This window comes from Homo sapiens, chromosome 12, assembly GCF_000001405.40.
Source record: "Homo sapiens chromosome 12, GRCh38.p14 Primary Assembly".
In the NCBI taxonomy this organism is placed as follows: Eukaryota; Metazoa; Chordata; class Mammalia; order Primates; family Hominidae; genus Homo; species Homo sapiens.
In genome coordinates this window covers 79,638,261-79,659,464 of record NC_000012.12, presented here as the reverse complement: position 1 = coordinate 79,659,464, position 21,204 = coordinate 79,638,261, and the positions used below count along the sequence as shown (strand labels likewise).

At 37.7% G+C, this 21,204-nt stretch overlaps 1 protein-coding gene across 8 annotated transcripts in view, besides 1 other annotated feature; it reads left to right on the top strand.

Moving 5' to 3' along the window:
• Positions 1 to 21,204, top strand: part of PAWR (pro-apoptotic WT1 regulator) — a 106,086-nt gene that overhangs the window by 31,500 nt on the left and 53,382 nt on the right. The gene's annotated exons all lie outside the window — the stretch shown is intronic.
• Positions 3,960 to 4,644: an enhancer, noted in NCBI's record as "OCT4-NANOG hESC enhancer chr12:80048601-80049285 (GRCh37/hg19 assembly coordinates)". NCBI's record gives its function as "activates a minimal SCP1, AML or CMV promoter by ChIP-STARR-seq in primed H9 embryonic stem cells {active_cell/tissue: H9 hESC(primed)}" and the evidence as "EXISTENCE:reporter gene assay evidence [ECO:0000049][PMID:30033119]".

Genomic DNA, 21,204 nt, shown 5'->3' with positions numbered 1-21,204 from the left:
AGAGGCAGTGTTTTTAATGACAAGAACAAATAAAGCCTATTTATGTTAAAGTATATGATTAGATTTGGACTTCTATGTTTACTCACCTTTCCCGATGTCTAAAATGCCCCTGCCAAAATACATTACAGGGATATTTTTTTAGCTTGAATTTAGATTTTTTTTTTTTTCTTTGAGACTGAGTCTCACTCTGTCGCCCAGGCTGGAGTGCAGTGGCGCCATCTTGGCTCACTGCAACCTCCACCTCCCGGGATCAAGCGATTCTCCTGCCTTAGCCCAAGTAGCTGGGACTACAGGCGCCCGCCACCACGCCTGGCTCGTTTTTTGTACTTTTAGTAGAGATGGGGTTTCACCGTGTTAGCCAGGATGGTGTTGATCTCCTGAGTTTGTGATCCGCCTGCCTTGGCCTCCCAAAGTGTTGGGATAACAGGCGTGAGCCTCTGTGCCCAGCCAGATGTGTGTGGTTTTTTTTCTTTTTCTTTTTTTTTTTTTTTTAGTGTGCTAAGAGGCCAGGAGCAGTGGCTCATGACTGTAATCCCAGCACTTTGAGAGGCTGAGGTGGGTGGATCACTTGAAGTCACGAGTTCAAGACCAGCCTGGCCAATGTGGTGAAATCCCATCACTACTAAAAATACAAAAATTAGCTGGGCATGGCGGGTGCCTGTAATCCCAGCTACCCAAGAGGCTGAGGCAGGAGAATCGCTTGAATTTGGGAGGTGGAGGTTGCAGTGAGCTGAGATCATGCCACTGCACTCCAGCCTTACAGATTCATTCCAACTGAATCTGTAAACTTAAACAATTAAACAGCTATTTTATTGTATTATTTATTTTGAAGGATGAATATTCTCTTGAAATTTTAGTGTTATATAACATAAATCTGCATTTGTTTTGGAGATTGTTCACTACATTTAATTTACTGATTAAATTCTTATGTGTACTGATGATGTGCATCTGTATGTAAACATAAGTTTTTATTCAAACACAAGGCAAAAAAATCTTTTTTCTCTGCTTGGTTGTCCGATAAGAGGAACACAACCCCCTATTACTCACTAAAAAAGAAAAACTGGAAGAATTTCAAGTATTTAGTTTCTTATTAAATTCAGATGGGATGATAGACCTCTAAGTTGAACTTTTCCTTATCCTTAATGGGTTGTATGCATTAATAACTCTTAGCTTGATTCTGGCCTAATTTCTTTTAAAGACTCTTTAAGGACAATTAATTATTGTTTATATTGAATATAACATATTAGGAGGGTGCCAATGCCAGGTGCAAAGATCTGTTGGCATCTAGGATTCCTGTGTTTTTCTTAACTGTCAAATCTGAAATAAAAATTCCTCTAGATTTCTTAGTCTTTCTAGGTAAAGTGACACAAATTTTTGGATATGAGACTGCTTTGGTGCTCTTTCTTCCTGCACCATGATGCCCACCTCATAGTCTTTCAGTCATATGCACATTGGACATTTTAAGGCCTTATCTTGTTTGACATTATGGATCTTTCATATTTTCTCCTTGAGAAAAATTTTTCCCCCTTTGCTTCAATGACGCCATACTCCTCAGATTTCTCCTCCAATTCTTTGGACATTCCTTCATAATCTCTGTTTTATTACTTCCTTAAATGTTGGTACCCTTTATGGTTCTATTCGAGTCCTCCTTGAGAATCTTTTTTTTTTTTTGAGACGGAGTCTCGCTCTGTGGCCCAGGCTGGGGTGCAGTGGCGCGATCTCGGCTCACTGCAAGCTCCACCTCCCGGGTTCACGCCATTCTCCTGCCTCAGCCTCCCGAGTCGCTGGGACTACATGCGCCCGCCACCACGCCCAGCTAATTTTTTTGTGTGTTTTTAGTAGAGACGGGGTTTCACCGTGTTAGCCAAGATGGTCTCGGTCTTCTGACCTTGTGATCCGCCCGCCTCAGCCTCCCAAAGTGCTGGGATTACGGGCGTGAGCCACCGCGCGGCCCTTCTTCAGAATCTATATAGGATTTCTCAGCAATCTCAACCCACCCCCTTAACTTAGTTACTATATGTATCCTGATAGTTTTTTTTTTTTTAAATATATTGAAGTGTAGGTGACCTACAGTAAACTGCATTTTTTTGCAGTGTGCAATTCAACAAGTTTTGGCACATGAAACCACCACACTCAAGGTATTGAATGAACAATCCATCACCCCCACGAGTTTACCCGTGTTCCTTTGTAATCCTTTCCCCAGCCCAAGGCAACTGTTGATCTGCTTTCTGTTACAATAGAGTACTTTGAATTTTCTAGAATTTTATATAAATGGAAGCATACATTATGGACTCTTTTTTTCCCTAAAATCTAGCTTCATTGAGCACCCTTGTCTTGAGATTCATTCATGTTGCCTCTTCTCAGCTTTGTTTAGGTTTATTCCTTCAACCTTTCGGATGACTCTCCCCAGCCTTGGAGTATTTCCTCATGTGCGTAAGATGCTGTTCAATACTTAGATTACAGAGAGATCTCTGCTGTTTTTTTCCTCTTCAGAACTCTGACCTGAAAACTAGCTACCTTGGCATTCCTGGACTCCCATTTCCATCTTTTCAATTCAGGGAGAGTGCTGGTCTCTGCCCAGGTTCTCCCTCACTAAGCTGCAGTAATTTTAGAGCTCACCTGGTTTGTTTTCTGTCTCTCAGGGTCATTGTTTTGTGCTGCCTTATGTTTAGTCTCTGAAAACTATTATTTTGTATATTTCATCTATTTTTTGTTGTTATTTCAGGGATGGTGGTAAATCTGGTCCCAATTATTCCAACTTGGCCAGAACTGGATGTCATTATTGAATTTACTAATCTATATTTCCAGTCAATATTTTCCTCTTGAGCTTGAGACCTGTGTGCTAGTCTGCCTATTGGACATTTTCTGCTTTTTTCTAAATCATCATAATTTTCTCCTGCTAAACCTTCCTGTTCTTGTATTCCTAACTTGTGAGTAGTAGCACCATCTACCTAGTTTTTCCAAGTCATTGCCACAAATGTTCTGAATTGACATATGTCTTCCATATTTCCCCGCCTCACCCCCATGTTACGCATCCATTCACCGTATGTTGTCAATTTTAGTTCTAGATATTGCTCAGATTCATCTACTTCTCTCCCATTCTCATTACTACCACACTAGTTCAGGCTACCAGTATCAACCAGTTGAATCACTATAGTAGATCCTAATTAATTTATCTGCCTCTAGTCTGCTCTTTATCCTGCAGTTAGAACTAGTTTTCAAAACACAAATCTATTCATACAGTTTTCTGTTTTCTTTAGGACAAGTCCAAAATATATTTAAGGTGGTTTACAGCATTCTTCGTGTTTTCGTCTTTGCTCCCTCTGCCCGTTCTGTCTCACCTCTCAAATATTCTATCCTTCATATTCTTGGAAGGATACCTTGATACCTCAGATGTGATATGCTTTCCTTCATCTTCAGATCTTGAGATTTACTACCCTTTGCCTGAAGGAGTTCTATCCCACATTTGCTTATCTCTATTAGATATCACTCCGGAAATCTTTCTTGATCCCGGATCTGGGTTAGATACCTTCTATCAGCACTCTATTTTAATTGCTTATTTGTCTCTTTCACATATTTTACACTGTATACCCCACAAGGGTAGGAATTTTATGTCATATTTTTGTATTGACTTTGTCTAAAACAGTTTATAACACATATGTTAATATTCTGAATTGGAGGCAGTAATCATACTTGACTATAGAGAAAGATGCTCTGAGGGCAAAAGCTTGAAGTCTTTTTGACAACCTGTTTCTAAATTTACGGACCACAAGGGCAGAGGCTGAGTTGCTCCATTTCAGAATATTGTTGGAAATGTAGTATCTGAGGCCTTAATACAGACTTCCTGAAATCCGAATCTGCATTTAAAGGTTGAGAAGGCATGCTCTAAGTTTATTGGTTATCCTTTTTAGCTACATGTTAAAATCACCTGGGAAACTGATGACCAGTATTTAATCCTTTGGTGTAGGTAGGTCCTGGGCACTGATATTTTGGTAAAACTAGTGCCTAGGGAATTCTAAGGAGAGCCAGGAATAAGAACCTATGTTTTAGTTTGAAGTCCTCTCTCTTTTTAGTCTGGAATTTGAGAAATTGTCATTTCATATTTAGATTTTGAGCTGCTTTCACACATTCTTTGTAAAGCCTAAATGTTTGGAGAGTGGCGGCCTGGAGCTAATTGGGGCTGTCAGGTTGGCAGCTGTGGTCCCTAAAGACCAGTACTCCTCAGACTTTAATGTGCATACGAATCACCTGAGGCTCTTGTTAAGCTGCAGATTTTGTTTAAAGAGACTGGGATTTGTTTAAAGGCCTGACATTCTATTCTTAACAAGCCTCCAGGCAATGCATTAGAAAACTAAAAGAGATGCTACACCTAAGCAAATTTATACTTTCTCTTATTTCCTTAACTTTTCCTATAGAGTACCACAGCAATACCTGGCAGCTTAGCGAGCTGAAAGAATTCCTTCAATTCCTTGATTGTTATTGAACAGAATAAAGAATAAAGGGCATTTAACTGCTGGCAATCCCCAGTACCCAAGTGGTAACTCCCTCTGGGGTGGTGATATGGTTTGGCTCTGTGTCCCCACCCAAATCTCATTTCGAATTGTAATCACCATGTTTAGAGAGAGGGAAGTGATAGGATTATGGGGGTGGTTTCCTCCGTGTTGTTCTCGTGATAGTGAATTCTCACGAGATCTGATGGTTTTATAAATGGTAGTTCTCTACATGCTCACACTCTCCTGCCACCTTTTGAAGAAGGTGCCTGCTTCGCCTTCCTCCATGATTGTAAGTTTCCTGAGGCCTCCACAGCCATGTGGAACTGTGAGTCAATTAAACCTCTTACTTATAATTACCCAGCTATTATAAACTGGGCAGTTCTTTGTAGCAGTGTGAAAACGGACTAATACAGGTGGTAAGTCTCTACGAGAACTAGGCTTTATGAACAGCTTCCCATGTGAAGAAGGGAAGCCAGCTCTCCCAGAGCTTTGGTTGTTTGATTTATGGGAAGGAGCATCTCATTGCTTTTGGACAGGGTACAAAAAAAAAAGCTATCTTTTGAACCAGTGTGTTAGAAATGATGCAAAGCTTTGTATTTATATGGAAACACATCCCTCTCCATTTTAAAATTTATTGATCACATGTACTGCCTCATTGTTACTATTTTTAGTCACTATAACCATTAGATTGACAAGCCCATGTCTCCCCTAACTCCCCCACACTTTGCTGGTGCTTTGAATAGTATTGTACTTAAATCTTAAATGCAGTCATTTAAAATTTAATCATTTGATGTAACCAAACATAAGGCTAATTGGTTTTTCCCTGTCTCTTAAGGACCATCACTTCATTTTTGTTAACCTTTTTATCTTCCTCTCTCATGTTTACAGCAGCTGTTTTAACATGTTTTATGACTTTAAGCTGATCTGACAATTTGGCTATTATAGGAAGATTTTATATCATTCAGACACAGTAGTACCTCCAACTGGGCTTGATTTTTCTGTGATTTACTTCAGTACAAATAAGGATGCTATAAATCAGTTTGAGTTCTTAGGCCTCAACTAAAAGTTGCAGGATTAAATGAATTCCTGTTGTCTACAGTTAAAATAGTTTGTCTAACATTTTTCTAAAAAAAGAATTTGAATTTGAAATACAAATAAAATGAGGAGGTGAATTCTTAAAAAATAAGCACTGAGGGCAGGTGCAGTGGCTCACGCCTGTAATCCCAGTACTTTGGGAGGCCGAGGCGGGCGGATCACCTGAGGTTGGGAGTTCGAGACAAACCTAACCAACATGGAGAAACCCCGTCTCTACTAAAAGTACAAAATTAGCCTGGCGTGGTGGCGCATGCCTGTAATCCCAGCTACTCGGGAGGCTGAGGCAGGAGAATCGCTTGAACCTGGGCAGTGGAGGTTGCAGTGAGCTGAGATCGTGCCATTGCACTCCAGCCTGGGCAACAAGAGCGAAACTCTGCCTCAAAACAAACAAACAAAACACTGCAAACATTCACTGAAAAATATTTAAGAAAATTGAAATTGCAGCAATTTAAAAACATATCCTGCTTTTTAGTAGAAAGCTCCCATTTTTTAAAAGTAGATCAGGTAAGAGTTTCAAAATGAATTGAAACAGGATTTTTTGGGCTGGGTGCAGTGGCTCACGCCTGTAATCCCAGTACTTTGGGAAGCCAAGGCCGGTGGATCACCTGGGGTCAGGAGTTCAAGACCAGCCTGGCCAACATGGTGAAACCCTGTCTCTACTAAAAATACAAAAATTAGCTGAGTGTGGTCGTGTAATCTAAGCAACTTGGAAGGCTGAGGCAGGAGAATTGCTGGAACGTGGGAGGTGGAGGTTGCAGTGAGCTGAGATCATGCCATTGCACTCCAGCCCGGGCAACAACAGCGAGACTCTGTCTCAAAAAAACAAACAAACAAATAAAAAAACAAACACAAAAACAGAATTTCTTACAGTTGGAATATTAATTTATTTTTTTAACTCAAAGTAGAAATGTGATTTCAAATACTTTGTTGTTGTAGGCAGATAAAGCTATGACCATAAATACGTAGAAAACTATATTTTTAATTGAATTGAAGTTCTATATTATTTTATTACTTTACTGGTGATGGAGAACATAAATGTGAATTCATGATACAACATTTTAAATTCAGAAAAGAACTCTTTGTCAAATACTAAATCCAATTCTTTGCTTATAAGCCAGGTTTCACTCCCTCACAAATTAATTTAAATCCTCCCAGGAATGCACAGTGTCCCTGCCAAAGGTTTTCACATGGTGATTGATGAAAAGATTTGCTGAAGAATATGCATTCTTTTTAAATACATTTTAGGAGCAGTTTAATATAGAGGTTGGAAAATGAAATAAATTCATGATGCTCCATATTTTGATCATGTTTTGTGATTGAACTTTTTCCAAAGAACTTTTGAAAAAGACACATTCCCTTCAGAATTACAAATCTGAAGCTTCTTCACAATAAAGCTTTAAAAGTGACTTGTATTGAAAGCTTTTCTTTAATCTGCTCACATCCGCACATCTCAGGTTGTGGTCTGTATTGCAGGGTATATTTAGCCAATGAGTATCTTTGTATTACTTAGTAAATTAAATATTTTAATTCCACTAATGCTGTTGAAAGGTTTTTAGGGTCAGTTGTAAACTTAATTGCTTTCAGCTTTTCTTTCCTTTTTTATTAATGTGGTAACATATACGTATATAATATAAAACTTAGCATCGAACCATTTTAAGTGTAGAGTTCAGTGGCATTAAGTATATTTACATTGTTTTGTAACCATCACCATTATCCATCTCCAGAAGTTTTTCATCTTTCCAAACTGAAACTACGTATCTAGTAAACAATAACTCCTAATTTCCCACCCCCCTCTGGCCAACCACCATTCTACTTTGTCTATATTAATTTGACTACTCTAGGTACTTTGTAGAAGGGAGATCATACATATTTGTCCTCTTGTGAATGGCTTATTTCCTCTAGCATAATGTCTTCAAAGGTGCATCTATGTTACAGCATGTATCAGAATTTCCTTTTTAAGGCTGAATAGTATTCCATTATGTGTATCTAACACTTCATTCATTGGTAGCTTGGTAGATACTGGCTTGCTTCTTTTTCTTTCATGGCCTAGATTTAAAATACTGATTGTACCGTTGCCTTCTATCGGCTTACAAATGGTTTAGACATCTACTACAGAAGAGACCAAGGAATTTAAGCATCGAAATTCCCACCTGGCCCCACCCCCCCAGCCCCCGCCATTTTTTTGTGAGCCCAGGATGGCTTTGAACTCCTAGGCTCGAGCAATCCTCCCCACTTAGCCTCCAGATAATTACAGGCATGAGCTACCAGGCCTGGCTCATCTTCTTTGATTTTTCTTAATGTCACTTGAGTCTTTTGTGGCCCAGACTAGATAGGGGAATAGCCTGATCATCTGGCCAGATCTAAACTGAAATACCTGATGAGGCAGCTGTATTTGGAGAGGCTGAGCTGAGATACGGAAGATGAAGATCTGGTATTGAGGATTCAGGCTTGTAAGGGAAAGCTTCAAATGCAAATTATGCACCCTAATTTTTTTAACCGATTCTTTTGGTTATAATTTACTTTTTTTGGAGATTGCATTTATTTACACTGATTTGCTAGGTGTTTGTATTTCTTTTCTGAATTGCCTTTTCATCTTGGTGTATTTTTTTGTTCGGTCACTTAGAATAAAAATTCAAGTGTGAAGAAAGAAAAATAAAGTTTAGAAATGTAACCTTTTGCTTTATTTTAGAAATTTTTATTTATGTGATTATGCATTTCCTAGATACTAGTTCTTTCTGTTCAAGGCCATTTACTCCAGCACCCAAGTGGATTTCTTGATTGCAAATTTATTACTATAGGATGTATTTGTGTAGAATTATTTCTTCCTATTGTACTGGCCTTATTCACACTTCTGTGCTTTAATACAATGAAAAATTGTTTTGACATTGAAGTTCTGTATTGAGTCCCACAAGATATTATTCCCTTAAAGCACTTGTATGGTAACTTGCAAATTGAACATTTGAAATATCAAAATGAAAGCACGCAGTATAAAGGTCTGCCTTTGAAGGATAATGGCATGCATGTGGGGTACTGTTAAAAAGAAGATTAACTACATTAGCAGCACCTTGATTTTAGCACAGGGATCAGCAAATTAGTGGTTGTAGGCCAAGTCCGGCCCACTGCCTGTCTTTGTAAGTACCTTTTTTTTTTTTTTTTTTTTTTAATAACCTTTAAGCTCTGTTGAACTTGAGTAAGGAAAGTTTTACTGGAACACAGCCACACCTGTTCATATATTGTCTGTGACCGATAGATTTTGGTCTACAACAACAGAGACCTATGGTCCACAAAGCCTATAATATTTACTATCTGTTTTTACAGAGAAAACATTTGCCAACTCCTGGTTTAGTAGATCAAAGATCCTTTGATGTATTTTAGTAAGTTTTGCCCAATATACTGAGATGTTTATATGGAATATGAATCCTCATGTACAGTCCTTTGGCAATATACAGATGAGTCTGAAGGTCCAATATTTGAGCATGCACCCATTGGGAATAAAAAACCAAAAATTTAATAACTAGCAGTTTTGTTGATAACAAGGTACAGTGTCAATGTAGCGTGTAGCCTTCCTTTGCAGCTCAGCAGATATTGCAAGAATTCTAACAAAATTTGCTTAAAATGTGTCATAAAATGAAATGCTTTAAATATACTTTAATTGTGAAGTAGCCAATACATTATAGATCTAACCTCATTGTTTTAAATGGTTGCACACTACATTATCTTATGGATATGGAAATTTAACTCAGGGGTTCTCAAACCCTGGGCTGCAGACCCTACCAGGCTATACAGCAGGAGGTGAGTGGCTGGCAAACATTACGGCCTGAGCGCCACCTCCTATCAGATCAGCAGTGGCATTAGATTTTCTTAGGAGCACAAACCCTATTGTGAACTGTGCATGTGAGGGATCTAGGTTGCATGCTCTTTATGAGAATCTTAACTAATGACTGATGATCTGAGGTGGAACAGTTTCATCCCAAAACCTACCCCCTGCTACAGCCCAGTCCGTGAAAAAATTGTCTTTCATGAAACCAGTCCCTGTTGTCAGAAAGGTTGAGGACTGCTGATTTAACTATTTCCTTATTTATTTATTTGATACTAGGTCTCACCCTGTCACCAGGCTGGAGTCCCTTGGCGCAATCATAGCTCACTGCAGCCTCAAATCCTGGGCTCAAACCATCCTCCCACCTCAGCCTCCCAAGCAGTTGGGACTACAAGTGCACACCACTATGCCTGGCTATATTTTTAAAAATTTTTTATAGAGACAGTGTTTTGCTATGTTGCACCGGGCTGGTCTTGTACTCCTGGCTTCAAGCAATCCTTCTGCGTGGGCCTCTCAAGGTGCTGGGATTACAAGCATGAGCCACTGAGACTAGCTCTATTTCCTTATTGATGGGTATTTAGACTCTCCAACTTTTTAATATGACAATGCTATAATAAATATCCTAACATACATGTATTGTATGTTATATATATCCTTGACATATATGTTTTTGTATCTAGTGACCTATGGTATATTATATATAATATATCATAAATGTCCTTAACATAAAGAAAAAGCTGCCCTTTGTAATACCCAAACTAGACTAACATCTGAGCCTGTTGACTATTTCAATTAAATCTGACCTCTTCATATAGACTCAGAAATATGGTAAAAAGGAAAACATGTTTATGATGCTTCAAAGTATTAGTTCAATCCTTGAGTTTTCTGTGAAGGAGTAATTGAGATAATATGGCTGCCCTTTGCCCTATGTAACAAGGAGACTTTTAAAATTAAGATCGTGATTGGCTTCCAGTTAAGGAATCACAGTGTTCAGCTAGGGCCAGTGGTATTTACCAACTGAGTCTGTGAAAACATTCCTTTTTACCCTCAGATGCTCACTCAGCTTTCTGTTTTCCAAGTGACATTATTATAGCCTTTAGTAGTCAGAGAAATTAAAAGCACATTTTAAAAGCATGAATAGCAGAGTCTCCCTACAGTTTCACAAAATTACTACTTTTTATGATATTCCAAGTGTAGGAGGATTTCTGAAAACTTAGAGAAGTTAATTGCTAAACGACCTTTTAGGGTTTTTTTATTTTTTTTTTTCTAGCCCCTGTTAGAGCCATCCTGTTGCCCAGGATGGAGTGCAAAGGCATAGTCATGGCTCATTGCAGCTTCGACTTCCTGGGCTCAAGTGACCCTCCCACCTCTGCCTCCCTGGTAGCTGGGACTACAGACATGTGCCACCATGCCCAACTAATTTTTTTTTTTTTTTTTTTTTTAGAGACAGGGTCTCATTATGTTGCCCAGGTTGGTCTTGAACTCTTTTGCTCAAGCGATCCCCCCGCCTTGGTCTCCCAAAGCATTACTGCGCTCAGTCCCTTTTATGCAAATAATACACATTATAGAAGTTTAAAGCATATATCCAAATGTGTGTGTGGTTGTTGTTGTTTGGGTTGCTCAATAACTTCTGACTTTGTTTAATTGAAAAGTGGAAATGTGGCCACTTAAATTTTGGGTATGACTCTTCATTTACCGAACCAGCAATGTAATTAAGTCTTCAGCTAGGATAAGAGGAACATTAGGAATCCATCCTGTCAAATTTCTGGGCACAGTACCTTCTTGGAATGCTAAATGCACCAAATCTAATTTATTGACCATCTCTTAACCTACCAGTCTGCAGTCATCTTTAGTCATTTTATTTACTTTATGGATTTTATAAAGATTTTGAGGTTAGGAATGTTAGAACAGGGGTCGCCATTCTGTGGTCCTTGGCCTGTTAGAAACCAGGCCACACAGCAGGAGGTGAGCCGCTGGCAAGCAAGTTAACATTACTGCCTGAGCTCTGCCTCCTGTCAGATCAGCAGGGGCATTAGATTCTCAAAGGAGTGTGAACCTTATGTGAACTGTGCATGTGAGAGATCTAGGTTGCATGCTCTTTATGAGAATCTAATGGCTGATGATCTGAGGTAGAACAGTTTCATCCTGAAACCATCCCCCTGCCCCTGTCTTGTGTTCCATAGCACCAGTGCCTGGTACCAAAAAGATTGGGGACCGCTGTGTTAGAAAACTATATTGGGAATTTAATTTTGATACTTAGTTGGTTATCAAAGGGATTTTTGCCTTTATATTATACTTTTTTTCATGTTCAACTTTCCCTTCCCCAGAACTGGTGCTAGAAGTAAATTATCTAACTTGAATCTTAGATTTTTAATCTGTAAAAGGCAGATATGCATAAAGACTACCTATTTTGATGACCTAACTCTGCCTAGCATGTAGTAGAAGTTCAAACAAAATGGTAGTTCTGTCAGTATAGCTGCTAGTTATCCTCCTGTCTTATCTAATTGCTTTCTTGTTTCTTCATCTTGTCTATTAACTGTTTTTAGAACTTTAAACTTGCAGTAGCTTCAGTAATTAATTTTACCTGATGTTGATTCCTATCTTGGGAAAATTTCCCTGAAAAAGCATGTCTGTGGTCATCCTGTCTTATGTCAGTGTAAATCCCAAAAAACTTGCCCCTAATTTCAAAAAGTTAAACTTTGTATACAATAACATTTGTATCAATTTTTTAAAGTTTCCAGAATCACATTTAAAGGAATTATAGTTTAACTTTAAAGTTTAACTTTACCACCAAATTTAGTAATTATCTCTGCAGTAGTATGCCTGAAAGTTTAGACATTCACATACTACTGCCATTTCTTTCCTTTTCTTTTTTTTTTTTTTTTTGAAATGGAGTCTTGCTCTGTCACCAGACTGGAATGCAGTGGCATGATCTTGGCTCACTGCAACCTCTGCCTCCTGGTTTCAAGCGATTCTTCTGCCTCAGCCTCCCAAGTAGCTGAGACTACAGGTGTGTGCCACCACACCCAGCTAATTTTTGTATTTTAGTAAAGATGGGGTTTCACCATGTTGGCCAGGATGGTCTCTATCTCTTGACCTTGTGATCCTCCCGCCTCAGCCTCCCAAAGTGCTGGGATTACAGGTGTCAGCCACCGTGCCCGGCCAAAATGCCTATGTTAATATTTATTTGATAGTTTACAAACTTTGCCTTGCCTAAGCAATAATATCTGTGAAATTACAGGTTCTATATACTAGCTATATACATTTTTAATGTATATTAAAGTAACTACATAAACCATTTTGTTTGTGTACTACCTAATTGTATTGAATTATCTATTTACCGCTTCAGGCATCTCTTAAAAGATCATTTAACCTCTGAATATAATTCTCTTTCTCCTTTTTTCTCTTTCTATATAAAACTTGACCACAATTAAGTCTTTTTCTTTGATAGTGAGATATGGGTTTTTGGTGGACAGGAACCATTATAAAGATTTGTTGTATACAGTAAATCTGATAAATATGAACATATGGAAATATTTATTACACTTGTTTCATTTTAATATTTGGAGACATGTGTTGGGGAAGGGGACTGGAAATGCCAGTATTTTGTATGTAGACTTTCACTCCTTATTTCTCAAATGGTTTGTTCTTTACCTCTACTCTTGACTATTACTGATGTCTCAGAGTCAGACATGTCTTTAGTTCAGTATCTACAGAGAATAAACCATCTCCATGGGTGTGGGATAGTTGCCTGACTGAGGTGGCATACGGGGCAGGAGTGTCCTTAGTACTACTACTACAGCTTTTTCTTAATCAACTGAATTTAAGATTCACTAACTTCCTGCAGACTTTCATCATTTCTCCAGCTTTCCCCCATCCCTTCCCTTTGCCTTTGGGAGCTTCTCATTGAAGCATTTAAGATTTTGGATTTTTGGATTAGGGATGCTCAATCAATGTAATGCAAATATTCCAAACTCTGAAAAAAACACAAATCCGAAACACTTCTGGTTTCAAGTATTTCAGATAAGGGAGACTGTACCTGTGTTAATATAAAAATAATTCTTTTAAAAATGGTTGAAGATAATGAGGCTCAGGAGATGGAGGGACATGCCTAAAGTTACATGGTGACAGAACCTGATTCCAAAACACATGTTCTTAATTGTGAATCCTGGGCATTATCTACTAAAAGCTGTTGCTTCTTTGAATTGCTATAATCAAATCACCGTGAGCTGGCCCAATGGGCCTTCAGATTATACAATGAAACACTATAGTTAGGAGCTAATAGCTCTGAAAATATTTTTGGAAATGTTCCATATAATATTAATAATGTTATCATTGATAGGGTAATGTTACCAAGATCTCTATTAATTTATGAGTTTTAGATGTATAACACTGGATGTTTTTCCTAAGTACTGTTAAAGGAAGATGACTTTGTACAGGCCCAGATGAGAACAGAGGAGCATTTCTCCCTGGAGAGAGCTGCAGAGAAACTGGACTCCTTAGGCCACAGCTGGATTTCAGTTAATTAGCCCTCAGATATTTGTAAATAGAGTATACTAGCCCTTACACAGCACTAATGGCCTTTGGGTAATAATACAAGCTAGTCAGTTAATATTTCACCAAGTTTAGTGACAGTTCCAGTGTCATTTCAGTTTCTACCCATATGCTGCAAAGGTACCCAAACTTCCTCTGTTCATCACACTCTTAGTGGGCTAAGTAATCTTTTCATGATGTCCTTAGATCTAAAGAAATACCAGATAGTTTTATTTTCTTAGTAGTTTGGTCCAAACAGTATAAGTATTTATGTCCTAATAACTTAGTAGCCATTTGAATAAATAATATATGAATTCTTTGAAGAAATATTTTTACTTCATTCTTAAGTAACCAACATTTCTAATGGGATGTGTGCATCTCTTGGACACTGTACAACTTCTTAAAACTTGGAGTCCGATTAGAAGCTCTACCCTCATTTCCTATTCCACATTGATTTTTGTGTGTGTGTGTGTGTGTGTGTGTGTGTGTGGTGGGGGTGGAGGGAGCATGATTCTTCTTTTTTACATTACAGAGACTCAGTTTTGTAAAGATGTGATGCTATGGAAAGTATAATAGGATCTAATTTTGAAACTGGACTGTTGAGTTAGGGTTCATCAGTATTCTACAGATTACCTAAAATTACTTTGTTTCCCTCAGAAATTTAAAGTTTGTCTGAGGTGTCTGAGTTCACTGCACTTTGATGTGTTGTTTGGAAACTATCTTAGGGTTAGGACATGTAAATGCAAACCTGTTTAGAATCTAAGGGAATTTTAAAGCCTAGTTTCAGTTTAGACTTCAGGTAAAGTTGTATTTTCTTTACCTTGGATTTTTAGTTTTACTTTATGTGAAAATGTTTTTGCTAACAAAATAAAAAAGCAGGAAGCTTTCTATCTTTGCTCACAGATTTTTTTAAAAAAGAATCATTGACGAAAGTTTTTGTTTATTTAAAACTTTCTGAAGCACAGCACTCTTTACCAATTATTTGATAAAGGGAATAGGAAAACAACTGAGGTAGAGAGAAATGGAATGTTTACCTTCTAGTGTCCTATTTAAATCTTCCACTTAGGTGACTGGCTCAACAGTAACGTGTTTTGAACACTGAAGAGAGGTATGTAAATGAATACTTCATGGTTGTAATTGTTAGGCATATAATTTGATGCAAACTATGTAATGAGAGAGGCATATGATTATCATTCTTTAAAAGACGCTGCACAAGAGCATTTTTCAGTAAATGTCAAAGTTGAGACAAAATTAACTTGTTTTATGTAGACATTTTGTTTTCTGTCTTTCTTATAAAAGTCTTGTTCTGTCCTCCTGAAATGAGATCAAGAACTTTGGGTCCTTTTAAAATAAAGCAAAACCCAATGATACGGGATTTTGGCAATTTAAACAAATCTAAAATTTCAATTACAAAGAAGAGAAACCACATAATAAGCACATTTGTACTGAAGGAATATTTTCCCTTCTAAACAACTGATGTATGTTAATGTTTGATTTGACACATCTGAATCAATAGTGTTATTGTCTTACCATTTGCTTCATACGAACTTGTGCAAATTTATAGAGCAGCATGACACATAGCAGACCAAAATCCATGTTTGTTCACCTAGTAATTATTTAGTCCAATGTCAGTGAAATATTTTTTATTTTGTTAACATTCTAACCAAACATTTACATATTATTTTATTTTTGCTATGTAAAATTTTGATATTCCCTGACAGCTGAAAAATAGCAGGTAAGTGTTTGAGTATCTCTTTTCACATAGCTGTAGCTTACTTTGCTTTTACTTTTCCCTTTATAGATTAGAGCCACGAATATAAATAAACTGCAAATGAGCTGACTATTCAGTGGATGATTTCTGATTAGGATTTAGAGTAGGTTTTGTATGTAAATGCTGTGTTTTATGAAGGCTTTTTGGTGGAGGAGGAACTTCTGTAAAAATTTCTTGTTGAAACATCAGAATTAGCTAGTTTCAAAAACTCTGCTAGTAGACATTTTGGCAATTTTATATAGGCTTTGAAATGTCTTTCAAGTGTTGTCTTTGTACTTTCAAATAGCATTTAAATGCTCATTCACGGCAGGGGGTACCTGGACGTTTTGTTGAGAAGATTTTCTTGGTTTCTACTTTTAAAAGCCTTGATAAGAAGTTTGTGTTGTACCTTAAATTTGTTATGTATATTTTCATTACTTCTTTGACTATTAAGTATTTTGGTTCATATAATCTGCAGGGTGCCAGACTAAAGCAAATAAAAGTTAAGGGTACTATATAAATTGGTAAATATCTAACTTAGTTTCCTCCTTCCTCCCTACCTTCTTTTCTTTCCTCCCTCTGATATTTATTAAGTAGCTACTATATGCCACACACATTGAAGGTACTAGTGAGTAAAAGATAAATGGTGGTTCTTGTTACATAGTATAGAAAATAGGGTGCAAAAATTGCCTGAAAGCAAGATTTGCCTTTGTAATACGAAATGTGAATTGATTGGTATATAAGAATATAGCAGGAACCAAAAATAAGGACACTGTCTTAAGCCTTAAACAATTTAAAAGAATTCCTATTATAGTAATTAATTTTAGTCTCAAATGAAGAGCTGGTATGGTTTTGTTTTTTCTTTGAGTTGTTAATCCTAATGTAGAAATGACTTTACTGTTACCTCAACAGTAGCTTGCTGTTAACAGAAACGATGTTTTGCATTCCAGGTTCCAAGTGTTTTATTTTTGGTTCCAATAAGATCAGCTATTATGTTGTTAATGGACTAAGTTTTGTCTCTCTCAAATTCATATGTTGAAACCCTAGCCCCCAATATGAACTGTATTTGGAGATTTGCAGATATGACCTCTAAGTAGGTAATTGAAGTTAGATGAGGCCTTAAGAGTGAGACTATAAAGCCAGTATGACTGGTGTTCTTACTAGGAGGGGGAGAGAGAGACCAAGGATGCACACACACAGAAAAAAGGCCAAATGAAGATACAATGAGAAAGAAAGGTGACCATCTGCAAGCCAAGGAGGCAAGAGGAAAGATCAAACCTGCCAGCAGCTTGATCTTGGACTTCCAACCTCCAGAACTGTGAGAAAATAAAATTCTGTGATGTAACCCACCTGGTCTGTGGTATTTTTTAATGGCAGCAAAAGCAAACTATTTAGTAATACATCTGACCTAATGTAGGCATGTGCTTGATAAACCAATTTTTCTTGTTGTCCTGAAGTTCTCTACAACCATAGTTCATACCTCAATCTTGGGCTGGTGTCAAGTCTTTGATTTCTTCCAAATACATAGATTCCCAGAAAGTATAATAGCTTTCAAGAAATACTAATTTTCTTGTATGTAGTCTTATCTATTAAGCAGCCATATATTGAAGATATCTTTGGTAAGTCACTATAATCATTGATTTATTTATACTTTTATTCCCTTTTTATATACTAGTATATTTTAAATGATAATGTGTTACAGTTTGGCAGAGTTTCATTTCTCAGTGGCACATAAAATAATGGTATGTTTTCAATCAGTGGCATCTTAGATTGAATGAAATACATTTTTTACATTATATCCCACCTCTCCAGGTCCCCTTGTAGCATCTCAAATATTTGTGATTCTTCAAAACAATCAGGAAAGGAGTTATTATGTAGCTTTCTGTAGTAAATCATATGACTTTTTTTTTTTTTTTTTTTTTTTTTTTTTTGAGACGGAGTCTCGCTCGGTTGCCAGGCTGGAGTACAGTGGTGCGATCTCGGCTCACTGCAACCTCCAACTCCCTGGTCCACGTGATTCTCCTGCCTCAGCCTCCCAAGAAGCTGGGATTACAGGAACATGCCACTACGCCCAGCTAAGTTTTGTATTTTTAGTAGAGACAGGGTTTCACCATGTTGGCCAGGATGGTCTCGATCTCCTGATCTCGTGATCCGCCCACCTCGGCCTCCCATAGTGCTGGGATTACAGGCGTGAGCCACCGCGCCTGGCCAATCATATGACTTTCTTAATCCTGTTAATATTCTATAAAATATCTGCTGTATTGGAGAGCTTGTTTTATATAAGTAAAAATAGAGAATAAGCTAATTGTCATAAAACAGTAAATGTGGTCTCATAGTTAAGAGAATAGGCTCTTCGGACAGAATGTCTTGAGTTCATATCACAGCTCCATCACTTGTTAGCTGTGTAACTTTAAGCAAATGTTTAACTGCTTTCAAATCCATAAAGTAGGGATAAAAATAGTACCTATCTCATAGGGTTGTGAAGGTTAGAAGAGTTTTGCTCTGAAAAGCTCTTAGAACAATGGCTGTCACGTAGGTGCTATGTAATTGTTAGCTGCTATTGTTATTGTTCCTTTGAGTTAATGAATAGTGTTTTTTCTTAAACATTTAAAAAAAATACCAATTGCCTTTCTGTATAAGCAACAAAACCTGAGAATTCAAGGTAAAAATAGAATTTAATCTTATCTAATGAAAGTTAAAATGAACCTAACATTTAATGATGAGTGTGTTGTATGGTAATTAGATAAAATTAGGATTAAATTTTTAGTCCTCTGTTCATTTTCTTTAGTATGTAACCACCGCCAATGTAACAGAATATACAATTTAGTTATTTCCCTTAACTTCAAACTCTCAGATACACAGACACATAACTCACAAGCTCTCATCCAAGATCCTTACGCATCAAACTATTATAGGACATAGTTTCTTTAATATGTATCCCTGTGTTCCCAACTAATCAGTCTTCTCCTAAGTCCTTTCTCTTTTACATGCCAGGGATATGTGTATTCAGATTTTTATTTTTATTTTTTAAAGACAGGGTCTTGCTCTGGCACCCAGGCTGGAGTGCAGTGGCATGATCACGGCTCACTGCAGCCTCATCCTGGACTTCCAGGGCCCAAGTGATCCTCCTACCTCAGCCTCCCAAGTGGCTGGGACTACAGGCGCACACCACCATACCCGGCTAATTTTGGTATTTTTTATAGAGACAGAGTTTTGTCATGTTGCCTGGGCTGGTCTCAAACTCCTGAGCTCAAGGGATCTGCCTGCCTTGGCCTCCCAAAGTGCTGGGATTATAAGTGTGAGCCACTATGCCCAGCCTATTCAAAATACTAATCAGCTTGAGAAGACAGAGTCTTTCTTGGTCATAAAGGTTGAATTGCCTACTTGGGTTGTAGTATGATTGAAGGTCTGCAATAGAGGAATAAGTTACAGCAAATAGGACTGAGTCCTTGAGTCTTGGGGTGGAGGGATGGGAGAGAAGTGGAGGATTTAGGACTAAGGGATTGCTAAGGAAGGAAAATAAGGAGTCTTGCTCTTTGTGGGCAGGGAGTAGGCTCTGCTAAAATAGATTTATGGCCAGGCACGGTGGCTCAGGCCTGAAATCCCAGAATGTTGGGAGGCTGAGGTGGGAGGATCACTTGAGGTCAGGAGTTCGACAAGCCTGGCTAACATGGTGAAACCTTGTCTTTACTAAAAATACAAAAATTAGCCAGGTGTGTTCGCAGGCACCTGTAATCCCAGCTACTCAGGAGGCTGAGGCAGGAGAATTACTTGAACCCAGGAGGTGGTGGTTGCGCTTAGATGAGATCATGCCACTGCACTCCAGCCTGGGCGATAGAGTGAGACTCCATCTCTAGAATAGAATGGAATGGAATGGAATGGAATGGAATGGAATAGGAATAGGAATAGGAATAGGAATAGGAATAGGAATAGGAATAGGAATGGAAAAGGAAAAGGAAAAGGAATGGAATGGAAATCTCATTCATTTACTTGATATTCTTAAGTACTTATACAGTATGTGCCAGCCACTACTGCTAATTGCCAGTTAACATACAAGGTAGTTTTAGTTTGTTTTATATAGACCTAAACTTTTAATTTTTAGTGAGAGGAAAAATTCTTGAAAATGAAGGTATGCATTATATAAATTTAAATTATTTTTAGAGGAATATATGGGTAAAGGGAGAGGATGTGCATAGAAGTCCAGGGGACAAGGAAATTTAAACAAGAGTGTGAAGTTTCTTGAGAGGGACCAGTTGAGGCTAAAGATGAACTTTACAGACACTAAACCACAAACGTAGGTTCTGCAGAGAATTTGGGCACAGAGCTTTGTGCTGTGCATGTGGAAACCTAGCCATAACTCTCCACATAATTTATACATTAAGTAAAATGTATTGACATAAGTATTTTACTAGGAAAATATGTTGGCTGGGAGAAGCCAAGAAAATTTTAAAAGTGAATAATAAGAAAGAGAACTGGTATTACTAGATATTATTAACTTATAATGATAAAAATAATATGGCTTTTATGTAGATAAATTGGTGAAACAGTATTGAAAGCTAAAAATAGGGTGAGGTGGCTCACGCCTGTCACACCTATCCAGCACTGTGGGAGGCTGAGGCGGGCAGATCACGGGGTCAGGTGTTCGAGACCAGCCTGACCAACATGGTGAAACCCTGTCTCTACTAAAAATACAAAAATTAGCTGTGCGTGGTGGCATGCGCCTGTAACCCCAGCTACTCAGGAGGCTGAGGCAGGAGAATCTCTTGAATCCAGGAGGTGGAGGTTGCAGTGAGCTGAGATCATGCCACTGCACTCCAGCCTGGGCGACAGAGTAAGACTCCATCTCAAAAAAAAAAAAAAAAAAAAAAAAAAAAAAAAAATATATATATATATATATATATATATATATATATGACTCCATCTCAAAAAATATATGTATATATGTTTATATATAATACACACACACACACACACACACACACACACCCCAAATATAATGATAGCATTTGGACTTGATAGGGAGGCAATAGATCTAGAGTCCCTGGGTATGAACCCTGAGTGGGGCTGAGGGAATGCTGTACTCCAGTCGGAGCCATTATTCATACAACCCACTGCCGTTGTTGCAATTCTGTATTCTGTGTACATAGTTGAAACAATTGGCTGTTATCAAAGTAGAAACCAGTAGAGTCCAACTTCACTACACAACAAATTAAATATGAGATTAGTTAAGTTAAAAATGAGATAGTAAAAATAAGAAAATATGTGTTGATTAGATCTTGGAGTGGGAAAAACTTTCTTTTATAGAACCACAGGGAGAAATTGCAAAAGGGAAATTAAACAGAATTAAAAGGTAAACTAGAAAAAGACATTAACAATATGTTGGACAAAGATTACCATTCTTGTTATATACTGCTTTTAGAAGTACTAAGAAATGAAATTGACAGACAACATCAGTGAAGAAAATGAAGATACATAAATATATAAAGCCAATAAAAATATGACAAAAGTTTATCCTA